General features: G+C 42.3%; 1 protein-coding gene and 1 pseudogene across 25 annotated transcripts in view, besides 1 other annotated feature; one reads left to right on the top strand and one right to left on the bottom strand.

The window, feature by feature from the left end:
• The window catches only part of CPEB3 (cytoplasmic polyadenylation element binding protein 3), a 244542-nt gene that overhangs the window by 73901 nt on the left and 158139 nt on the right, over positions 1-12502 (top strand). The gene's annotated exons all lie outside the window — the stretch shown is intronic.
• Positions 290-1041, bottom strand: NHP2P1 (NHP2 ribonucleoprotein pseudogene 1; annotated as a pseudogene).
• Positions 5832-6001: an enhancer, noted in NCBI's record as "active region_3768". NCBI's record gives its function as "activates an Ori minimal core promoter by ATAC-STARR-seq in GM12878 lymphoblastoid cells {active_cell/tissue: GM12878}" and the evidence as "EXISTENCE:reporter gene assay evidence [ECO:0000049][PMID:35858748]".

Here is a 12502-nt window from a genome sequence, read left to right as displayed (position 1 = left end):
GGTTTATATCATTAGTGCATGGCTCTCAAGTTGGGAATTTTATTCTGTGCATATATATATGTGTGTGTGTGTGTGTGTGTGTGTATATATATATATAATTTTTTTTTTTTTTTTTTTTTTTTTTTTGAGGCAGAGTCTCGCTGTGTCGCCAGGCTGGAGTGCAGTGGCATGATCTTGGCTGACCGTAACCTCCGCCTCCCAGGTTCAAGTGATTCTCTTGCCTCAGCCTCCCGAATAGCTCGGACTACAGGCGCATACCACTATGCCCAGCCAATTTTTTTTTTTTTTTTTTTAGTCTTAGCATTTACTTTCTCCACCCTACATTCTTGGAACAGCCTTTAGTTCTACAGGAAATGGCACTGATGGACAGAAGACTAGCATTACCTTCATGAAAGGGCTGTTAGAGCTGCCTGGTAAGAAGGCGTGCCTTGGGGAACTGGGAAGATGCCGTCAGTGTGGGTGGGCAGGAGGACAGCCAGTCGTCCTGCCGTCAGCCCAGTAGCTTCCAGCGGCAGGTGCCCAGGTGCTACCGGAGCTCCTCATAGGGGTAGGGGCAGGGACTGCACCTCCTCCAGGCACTCGTCGTAAGCCTCCTGGTACTCCTCGTGGGGCTTGACCATTATCACACAGGTGGGGCGCTTGGAGCCTGTGGCTGCACCCAGGTCCGTCTTAGAGGGGATATAGACATAGGGCAGATTTCGGTCCTCACACCTAACTGGGAGATGGCAGTATACCTCAATGGGCAGTGTGTCTCCTGCCAAAACCATGATCCCTTTTTCTCCTTTGTTGACAAATTTCTGAACCTCTTTCACCCCGCGCCGAATCTGCTTCTGCTTCACCGCTTTCTTAATGCATTTGTAGAGCTTCCGCTTGAGGCGGCGAGAAGCCAGGAGCTGCGCGATGGGGTTCTGGTTGACCAGCAGCTCCTGGTAGGTGCGCTCCCCGGAACACACCTCCGCCTGAGCCTCGGGCCCTTCGGGATCTGCCTTTATTTTGGTCATCGCAGCGGCCGCTGAAACCTAGTCCCAGGGAGGCTGCCCAGCCAAATTTTATGTTTTTAGTAGAGATGGGGTTTCACCATGTTGGCCAGTATGATCTTGATCTCTTGACCTTGTGATCCGTGCTCCTCGGCCTCCCAAAGTGCTGGGATTACAGGCGTGAGCCACTGCACCCAGCCATCAAAATATATATATATTTAAATGATTTTAATTCTGATGTTCTAGTTCAGGTTTCATAGGATTTAGAGAGTATCTGATATCTTCGCTTATTAAAAAAAAAAAAAATGAGCTGGGCGCGGTGGCTCAGGCCTGTAATCCCAACACTTTGGGAGGCCGAGGCAGGTGGATCATGAGGTCAGGAGATGGAGACCATCCTGGCCAACATGGTGAAACCCTGTCTCTGCTAAAAATACAAAAATTAGCTGCATGTGGTGGCACGCACCTGTAGTTCCAGCCTACTCGGGAGGCTGAGGCAAGAGAATCGCTTGAACCTGGGAGGTGGAAGTTGCAGTGAGCCGAGATCGTGCCACTGCACTCCAGCCTGGTGACAGAGTGAGACTTGTTCTCAAAAAAAAGAAAAAAAAAAAAAAAAAAAGCCAGGCGCCATGGCTCATGCCTGTAATTCCAGCACTTTGGGAGACCGAGGCAGACAGATCATGAGGTCAGGAGTTTGAGACCAGCCTGGCCAACACAGTGAAACCCCATCTCTACTAAAAATACAGATAATTAGCTGGGCGTAGTGGTGGGCGCCTGTAATCCCAGCTACTCAGGAGGCAGAGGCAGGAAAATCGCTTGAACCCGGGAGGTGGAGGTTGCAGTGAGTCAAGATCACACCACTGCACTGCAGCCTGGTGACAGAGTGAGACTCCGTCTAAAAAAAAAAAGCCAGGTGCAGTGACTCATGCCTGTAATCCCAGCACTTTGGGAGGCTGTGGTGGGCGGATCAGGAGATCAGGAGTTCAAGACCAGCCTGGCCAACATGGTGAAACCCCATCTCTACTAAAAATGCGAAAAATTAGCTGGGTGTAGTGGTGGGCGCCTGTAATCCCAGCTACTTAGGAGGCAGAGGCAGGAGAATCGATTGAACCCAGGAGGTTGAAGTTGCAGTGAGCTGAGATTGCACTACTGCACTCTAGCCCGGGCAACAGAGTGAGACTCCGTCTCAAAAAAAAAAAAAAAAAAATCTTGGCTTGGCACTGTGGCTCACGTCTGTGATGCCAGCACTTTGGGTGGCCAAGGTGGGTGGATCACTTGAGGTCAGGAGTTTGAGACTAGCCTGGCCAACATGGCAAAACCCCGCCTCCACTAAAAATACAAAAATTAGCCAGATATGGTGGCATATGCCTGTAATTCCAGCTACTTGGGAGGCTGAGGCATGCGAATCACTTGAACCCAGGAAGCAGAGGCTGCAGTGAGCCAAGATTGCACCACTGCACTCCAGCTGGGTGACAGAGTGAGACTCTGTCTCAAAAAAAAGAAATAACAAAAAACTTTTACTGATGTTAGGAATGCTGGGAAAGTTGAAAAAAAAATTGTTAAAATAAATTTGAGCCAGGCATAGTGGCTCATGCATGTAATCCCAGCACTTTGAGAGGCCGAGGTGGGCGGATCACGTGAGGTCAGGAGTTTGAGACCAGCCTGGCCAATATGGTGAAACCTCATCTCTAGTAAAAATACAAAAAAAATTAGCCAGATGTCGTGGTGCATGCCTGTAATCCCAGCTACTTGGGGGACTGAGGCAGGAGAATCGCTTGAACCTGGGAGGCGGAGGTTACAGTGAGTTGAGATCACGCCACTGCACTCCAGCCTGCGGGACAGAGTGAGACTTCATCTTAAAAAAAAAAAATTGAGTGGTATCTTAGTTCATTTGTGTTGCTGTAACAAAAATACCACAGTTTGGGTAATTACAAAGAACAGAAATTTATTTCCTCACAGTTCTGGAGGCTGGGAAGTCCAAGATCAAAGTTGCCAGTGGGTTTGATGTCTGGTGAGGGCTCCTCTCTGCTTCCAAGATAGTGCCTTGTTGGTGCATTCTCCAAAGAGCATGCTGAGTCTTCACATGACAGAGGGATGGAAAGTCAAAAAGGGTCTAAGCTGGTTCCCTCTAACCCTTTTATAAGGCACTAATCCATGCATGAGGGTGGAGCCCTCATGACTTAATCACTTCCCAAAAGGCCCCCCACCTCTTAATATCACCACAATGGAGATTAAGTTCAAGTCATGAATTTTGGGGGACATTCAGTCCATAGCAGGTGGGATGGGTGACTATTTGGTGGAAAATGAAAATGGTTGTGTGTTACTTGAGATTAATATGTGTGCAATGGTAAAAAGTTGAAAGTTGAGTCATATGTATGGTTTTCTGTTTGGTGATTTTGGGGATAAATTTGGCTTTTTAGAAGTATGGCTTATATTTCTGTAATTCTGGAGTTTAAATGTGACCATGAATTGCAGTCAAAATGGCAGGGTATAATTCACTTTGTGCTGGGGAGATTTGGTGGACTTCAACTAATTTGCCATATTATAATTAGCTCTAGACTAGGAGATTTACCCTAGTTGTTGGGCTTTAACATAGTGTTCTACTGAGTCCTGAGACTGTTGGAAAAAGTAGTGGAGATGGCCATGTTTGTTTTGTGTTTCATTTAAAATCTGCTTTAAAGACCCAGTCAGGAGTTAAGTGTCAAATCATAAAAATAGTAAGGTTCTACAAAGTCTAAAAATTTAGGACATGTTTATAGCCTGTTCTTAAGATTCCAGCTTCAATGAAATTGATATATTATGCCTGTTGTTTCTACATTAATCTTATGTTCTCCTACTCTACCATTCCAGGAACCGAAATAAGGTAGATTGCTACAAGTATGGATTTTAATTTTGGTAATTTAAATCATTAGACAGAACAACTTATTTATAAATTACCCTTTTCAAACCGATCATCATTGTTTCTGTTTGTTAAACTTAATGAATCTCCAACACAACTTATTTCACTTTACAATTCTTATTCATTGACTTTTGTTAAAGCCCCATGTAAACACCACTAGGGAAATCTGTTAATTATATGAAACTGAGTTTCCTAAACTTGCTGAGCAAGCACTACCTTGACAGAGCCTCAGGAGTATCTTAGAAGAAGGAGTGTCTTAGGATGGGAGAAGTTAGGGTACTTAATAAGGTTTTGGGGCCTGGGGTTACTCATAATGTGGTTTTAGGGCAGAAGTAAACAAGATTTGGGTGGGGATTGGTAAAATGTATAAACTGGCCTAGTTGCTGAAACTTCGGAATGCAGGAATTTAAGCAGAGTTACCATGAACTCTGTCTATAGCAGTGCTGTCCAAAGAAATAGACTGCAAGCTACATAGATCATTTTAAATTTTCTAGTGGCACATTTGAAAAGTAAAAAGAAACACTTGAAATTTTTTAAATTTTATTTATTTTTTGTAGAGATGGGGTCTTGCTATGTTGCCCAGGCTGGTCTGGAACTTCTGGCTTTAAGTGATCATCTCACCTTGGCCTCCCAAAGTGCTGGGATTATAGGTGTGAGCCACCATGCTTGGCTGAAATTAATTTTACTAATATATTTTATTTAACCTCTATATGTGAAATGTTATTTCAACACATGATCAATACAAAAATTATTAATGAGATGTTTTACTTTTTTTTGTACTAAGTCTTTGAAATCCGGTGGGTACTTTACAAATACAGCACATCTCAGTTTATTCTAGCGACATTTCAAGTGCTCAATAGCCACATGTGGTTAGTGGCTACTATATTGGACAATGAGGATATATTGTTTTAGGCTGGGCAAAGTGGCTCACACCTGTAATCCCAGCACTTTGGGAGACCGAGGTGAGTGGATCACCTGAGGTCAGGAGTTTGAGACCAGCCTGGCCAACATGGTGAAACCCCATCTCTATTAAAAACACAAAAATTAGCTGGGCAGTGGTGAGTGCCTGTAATCCCAGCTACTTGGGAGGCTGAGGCAGGAGAATTGGTTGAACCTGGGAAGTGGAGGTTGCAGTGAGCTGAAGTTGCACCACTGTACAACTGTCTTGTTGTACACTGTCTTGTTGTACCACTGTCTTGTTGCCTGGGCAACAAGAGTGAAACTCCATCTCAAAAAAAAAAAAAAAAAAGAATTTATTGTCTTAAAACATATATGTTGGAGCTGGGCACGGTGGCTCCTGCCTATAATCCTGGCACTTTGGGAGGCCAAGGTGAGCACATCACTTGAGGTCAGGAGTTCAAAACCAGCCTGGCCAACATAGTGAAACCCCGTCTCTACTAAAAGTACAAAAAATAAAAATAAAAAATTAACCAGGAGTGGTGGCGGGTGCCTGTAATCCCAGCTTCTTGGAAGGCTGAGGCAGGAGAATTGCTTGAACCCTGGAGGTGGAGGTTGCAGTGAGTCGAGATGGCACCACTGCACTCCAGCCTGGGCAACAAAGTGAAACTCCGTCTCAAAAAAAGAAAAAGATATATGATCTTAGAACATATATGTTTGAGCTGGGCGCAGTGGCTCATGCCCATAATTCTAGCACTTTGGGAGGCTGAGGTGGGCGGATCACTTGAGGTCAGGAGTTCAAAACCAGCCTAGCCAACATAGTGAAACCCGGTCTCTACTAAAAATACACACAAAAAAATTAACCTGGTGTGGTGGCGGGCTCCTGTAATCCCAGCTACTTGGGAGGCTGAGGCAGGAGAATTGCTTGAACCTGAGAGGCAGAGGTTGCAGTGAGCCAAGATCGCGCCACTGCACGCCAGCCTGGGCAACAGAGCGAGACTCTGTCTCAAAAAAAAAAAAAAAAAATTATGATATATGTTTGAATGAGCTGTTGTTTAAAACAATTTGAGCTTAGATAGTTTGTGTTCCGTGTCATGATTTGGCACAGTTTATCTGTTCTGAGTCATAGTTTCTGTTTCTATGTGGTTTCTGTTTCATTTCTCACTTTCATGCATAAATCTGTGATCTTCCATTAGCATGCCATTATTAATACACATATACAGAGATATAATCTATAATTTACAAAGACAATGTAAGAGTTTTCTTGGATACTTGATAAATTATCTACCAGACTAAGCCTTCACTTCCAGTAGGTATTGTTTCATCAAATTTTCTAAACAAAAATTGTCTAAAAGTGGCTGAATGCTTATATTGTTCCACCAGTTTTTATTTTATGTGGTGCTTTCTTTATAGCTGACAAAAGCATTTTACATATATTCTCACTTATAAGATATTTCATGGTATTTTCTTTGAGCTTTCATGTTTATAGCTTTTATTTATTGATTTATTTTTTGAGATGGAGTCTCACTCTGTTGCCCAGGCTGGAGTGCAGTGATGTGATCTCAGCTCACTGCAACCTCTGCCTGTATTTATATATGTACCAGGCTCAAGCGATTCTCCTGCCTCAGCCTCCTGAGTAGTGGGATTACAGGCATGTGCCACCACGCCTGGCTAATTTTTGTATTTTTATACAGACTGGGTTTCATCATCTTGGCCAGGCTGGTCTCGAACTCCTGACCTCAAGTAATCCGCCCGCCTTGGCCTCCCAAAGTGCTGGGATTACAGGCATGAGCCACCACGCCTGGCCATATTTATAGCTTTAAATGAAATTGTTTTTATTTAGTATAGATGTTATCAACACAATTATAACATTATTCAAATGAAGAGTAGTTGTTAAAGTCATCATATATCCATTGGAATTGAATTATACCCTCAGTTTTTCCAAGAGACTACAGATTGTTCAATAGTTTATGTATTACCCCTTAAAGTGTGTATGTGTGCGTGTATGTTTATATTTTTCTTCCTTTCTTTTGGTTTCCAGCAACTTTCCTATCCTGCATTATTTCAAAATAATTGCTATTAATTTTTTATACACATTCAGTTCCACTTAGTTGAATGGAATATATTTGCCACTTTCCTTTTTCACAGTTTCATAGTTTGCTGCCTGTAAATCATGCCTGATTTTACTTTGGTTCATTATTACTCCTTCATGAAGACAGAATTGAGGTCCCTTCTGCTTCCATACCATAGTTGATGACCACCTTCATTTGTATCTTTATAGCATCCAGGTGAGGTAGGCATTATTGTTATCCACATTTCTCAAATGAGGAAACTCATACACAGGGAGATTAAATAACTTATTCAATTCTATTGAAATTTGAGTGCTTACAGTGTGCTGTGATTTAAATCTTTTTATTTTTATCTAACTGCAGAGCGGCAGAGCATTATAATTCTGGCTACTACAGGTCATCCCAATGAAAGACTGATTATTTTGGGTATATAATTATATAAATAGTGAGTTCTGTCTGCTTTTTCCTTTTCATTTCTTCTTGGCTTCTCTCTCCTTTTTCCTTCCTGAAATTGTTCCTTGAAATTCCACTTTTTTTTTTTTTTTTTTTTTTGAGACAGAGCCTAGCTCTGTCGCCCAGGCTGGAATGCAGTGGCAAGATCTCAGCTTGGCTCACTGCAGCCTCCGCCTCTCGGGTACAAGTGATTCTCCTGCCTCAGCCTCCTGAGTAGCTGGGATTACAGGCGCCTGCTACCACGCCCAGCTAATTTTTGTATTTTTAGTTGAGATGGGGTTTCACTGTGTTGGCCAGGCTGGTTTTGAACTCCTCATATTGTGATCTGCCTGTCTGCCTCCCAAAGTGCTGGGATTACAAGCGTGAGCTGCTGAAATTCCACTTTTGAGTCCTTGCATTTGGAATATTGTATATACCTGATAGTCTCATTGAAGGAAGATAATCATACTACCAGTCTTCTTGCTTATTGTTTCGGCCTCTAAAAAGTCTTTTTTGTTTGTTTTTTTGTTTTTTGACACAGAGTTTCTGTCTCTTGTTGCCCAGGCTGGAGTGCAATGGCACGATCTTGGCTCACTGCAACCTCTCCCTCCTGGGTTCAAGCGATTCTCATGCCTCAGCCTCCCAAGTAGGTGGGATTACAGGCATGTGCCACCACGCCCAGCTAATTTTTGTATTTTTGGTAGAAATGGAGTTTCACCATGTTGGCCAGGCTGGTCTCAAATTCCTGACCTCAGGTGATCTGCCTGCATCGGCCTCCCAGAATGCTGGGATTATAGGCGTGAGCCATTGTGCCTGGCCTAATATGCAGTAAATTAAGACGGTTCAGTCAGAATTTCCAAAATGTCTACATCACAGAATTTTTTTTTAAATAACAGCTTTATTACTGTCAAACGTTAGTGCTAACAAAATTTTTCCAAGTATGCTCAGGGCTGTTTCACTCTTTCTTCACTTGTTCAACATGTTTACTGGGAACTTTAATATGCCAAGAATTAAAGATAAAAAGATTAAGTGAGGCATAGTCTCTGACTACAAGAAGCTAGTGATCTACTTAATAGATGATGATTATATAATGAGGTAAATGCAATGACAGAGCCATATGCTAGGAATTATGGGAGGACAAACAAAGGAGGAGTCAAAAAAAGCTCTCAGGCTGGCAGTGGCTCCTGCCCTGTAATCTCAGCACTTTAGAAGGCTGAGGCTGGTGAATCATTTGGGGTCAGGAGTTCGAGACCAGCCTGGCCAACGTGGTGAAACCCCGTCTCTACTGAAAATACAAAAAATTAGCCAGGCATGATGGTGTGCACCTGTGGTCTCAGCTACTTGGGAGGCTGAGGCATGAGAATGGCTTGAACCTGGGAGGTGAAGGTTACAGTGAGCTCAGATCCCCCAACTGCACTCCAGCCTGGGCAACAGAGTGAGACTCTGCCTTAAAAAAAAAAAAGAAAGAAAAAAAAAAAGGGCTTTCAGAAAAGGGAGGCCAGACACATTGCCCAACTTCCTTAAAATTTGGAAAGACCCAAGAAGAGATTCCTCAAAGGACACACAGGCTATAGGGCTGCAAATAGCTAAGATTTATTTGTAAATAGCAAGTTTCTTCTACATAAATACTTATCAGATTCTTGAAAACTATTAACATTAAGGATGTAGCTTGGTAAACCCTTTCTCCAGGACAGCATCTGGTTAATTTGTGTATGAATATGCAGAAGTTCAAAATGGCATTCTACCACAAAGGAGTCTGACTTTAAAGACTTGTAAAATGTGTAGCCTTGAATCTTTACCCTGGTATTCAACTTGGGGGATTTGTAGGGAAATATTACCATTATCTGTTGAGCTAGACAAGCAAATATTCACTTTCTAGCATACTCAGGCTACAAAATAATCTAATTTCTTCCTATTACCATTTATTTATAGAATACTTATACAGCTCATAAAGCATTTTTCCCACATATTTTTGCTCATCAGAACCTCACCAAGGTGTTCTTTTGAGCCTTGCTTAGGATACCCTATCCTACTTCAACATATCCCAGGTCCTTTCTCCTCTTGTTAAGCCAACAACAGGACTATCAAATATTTTTGGAAGTAAATAATAGCAGAACATTAATGACCAATATTGGCTATGTGCCCAGTACTGTTTTAAGCACTTAACATGTTTTTTTGTTGTTGTTTGTTTTGAGACAGAGTCTCGCTCTATCGCTCAGGCTGGAGTGTAGTGGTGTGATCTCGGCTGACTTCAACCTCTGCCTCCTGGGTTCAAGCAATTCTCCTGCCTCAGCCTTGTGAGTAGCTGGGACTACAGGCATGTGCCACCACACCCAGCTAATGTTTGTATTTTTAGTAGAGATGGAGTTTCACCATGTTGGCCAGAGTGGTCTGGATCTCTTGACCTCGTGACCTGCCAGCCTCGGCCTCCCAAAGTGCTGGTATTACAGGCGTGAGCCACTGTGCCTGGCTGCGTGGTGATTAAACATAGATTAACATGTTTTATCTCATTTCTTCCTCGCAAAAGCCTATAAAAGTAAATACGATTATTATCCCATTTACAAATGAGAAAACTGAGGCACAAAGATATCACATACAAAGTGTCTGAGTCAAAATTAAAGTGCAGGCAATTCAGAGCCTTAAAACCATTCTGTCTTTCTGTCTCCAGGTTGAGAATTATTCCTAGTTAGCAATTCTCATTTCTCCTATTGTCTTACCATTATCTTATCTTTCTACTCAGCCTAGTATGTGGTGTGTGTATGTACATGAAAGAAAAATGGGCTGGGTATGGTGGTGCATGCCTGTAATTCCAGCACTTTGGGAGGCCGATGGGGGCAGATTGCTTGAGCCCAGGAGATTTAGACCAGCCTGAGCAACATGGCAAAACCCTGTCTCTACAAAAAATACCAAAATTAGCAGGGCATGGTGGCATATGCCTGTGGTCCCAGCTACTCAGGAGGCTGAGGTAGGAGGATCACTTGAGCCTGGAAGGTCCAGACTATTAGCCAAGATCGTGCCACTGTACTCCAGCCTGGGTGACAGAGTGAGACCCTGTCTCAAAACAAAAAAAAAGGAAAAAAGAAGTGTACCTTCTCATATTGTTTCTTATTCATTAAGCTGAATTCCACAATAACAAAGGAAAGCAAAAACATGAATAATTCCAAAGCACTTTTTTAGTCTATAATTTTAAATAACTCTCCCAGACCTATTAAAGGACTCAAAAAATCTGTTTTACTTCAGTTTGTTTCCATATTTTGGGGAAACGGTTTACTTAAGTGAAAAACTTGAATAATTTGCCTAGAAAAGTAATTAAAGTATGACCTTTAAGTATAGCTATCTGAAGGTTATTAAATGGACTCAATATGCAAAAATTAATTATATTCCCCAAGTTTCATAGAAACATTTATTGCCTACAAAATAAGATATGAACATAAATAAATATATAAACATAAATACAAGTTTAAGAATTAAAAAAAGAAAATAGCCAGGTGTGTTGGCATGTGCCTTAAGTCCTAGTATTTGAGAGGATGTGGTAGGAGGATCGCTTGAACCCAGGAGCTGGAGGCTACAGATGTACTCCAGCCTGAGTGACAAAGTGAGACCCTGTCTCAAAACGAAAGGGAAAAAGAGTACATAGAGATTACTTTTTCTGGACCCAACTATCACCAGAATATATTAAGACTTTCTGAGGCCGGGTGTGGTGGCTCATGCCTGTAGTCCCAGCACTTTGGGAGGCTGAGGAGGGTGGATCACCAGAGGTTGGGAGTTCGAGACCAGCCTGACCAACATGCCGAAATCCCGTTTCTGCTAAAAATACAAAAAATTAGCCGGGCGTGGTGGCGCGTGCCTGTAATCCCAGCTACTTGGGAGGCTGAGGCAGGAGAATCTCTTGAACCCGGGAGGTGGAGGTTATGGTGAGCCGAGATTGCGCCATTGCACTCCAGCTTGGACCAGCGAAACTCTGTCTCCAAAAAAAAAAAAAAAAGTATTTACTGGACTTGACTTTATGACATTTAAAGTACCCTAAAGTATCATTATTAGAATGGTACTGGCTTTATTTTAAAGTAAAATTTTTTAACCTTCTAAATACCAAATATTTTAATAAATGTGGATGCTTTCCATTTTAGATGCTTTATTAACATGTTCACCTCTTAAATGGGGTAACATTTAAATGGAAGATTAGGTTAAAGACTTAGGTTCTTTTCTCCCTGGAATGCTTACATAACACATAATTTGTGTGTAGTTGGCCTTCTTCAAGGATACTTGATTTGTATTAACTGAATTTAGGCTGGGCGCAGTGGCTCACACCTGTAATCCTAGCACTTTGGGAGGCTGAGGTGGGAAGATCACTTGAGTCAGGAGTTCGAGACCAGCCTGGCCAATGTGGTGAAATCCTGTCTCTACTAAAAATACAAAAATTAGCTGGGCATCATGGCGCACACCCATAATCCCAGCTACTCAGGAGGCTGAGGCAGGAGAATTGCTTGAACCTGGGAGGCAGAGGTTGCAGTAAGCTAAGATCACGCCACTGCACTCCAGCCTGGGTGACAGAGTGAGACTCCGTCTCAAAAAAAAAAAAAAAAAAAAAAAAGGACTGAATTTAATATTTAGTTTCCTCATCTGTAAAAAAAGATATTGTAATATCTACTTCATAGGACAGTTATAAAAATTAAATGAGGTAATCCAATGAGATACTCATCAGCACAGGGTCTGGCACATATTAATTATCTATTATATGGTAGCTATGACTTAATCAGTTCTACGAGGCTTGTTATGAAAAACAGTATACACATCCATTTTCCTCTCCCCAGAGGCAGATTGGCTGCTTTTGAAAAATAAACCAGCATTACTTTGTCAGGGATAGGTTTAGCATGAAAGCAGTTTGGGCGTAAGCCTGTTCAAATTAAAAAATGATAAAGCTTTAAAAGTGGTTAAGACAGCTGCACCTGTAATCCCAGCACTTTGGGAGGCCAAGGTGGGTGGATCCTGAGGTCAGGAGTTCAAGACCAGCTTGGCCAAGATGGTGAAACCCCATCTCTACTAAAAATACAAAAATTCGCTGGACATCGTGGCAGGTACCTGTAATCCCAGCTACTCGGGAGGCTGAGGCAAAGAATTGCTTGAACCTGGGAGGCACAGGTTGCAGTGAGCCATTATAGTACCACTTTACTCCAGCCTGGGTGACAGATCAAGACTCTGTCTCAAAAAAAAAAAAAAAAAAAAAAGTGGTT

Source organism: Homo sapiens, chromosome 10 (genome assembly GCF_000001405.40).
Source record: "Homo sapiens chromosome 10, GRCh38.p14 Primary Assembly".
NCBI classification, from domain to species: domain Eukaryota; kingdom Metazoa; phylum Chordata; class Mammalia; order Primates; family Hominidae; genus Homo; species Homo sapiens.
The sequence above is the reverse complement of the archived record's forward strand: the minus strand, read 5'-3'. Positions and strand labels throughout refer to the sequence as shown.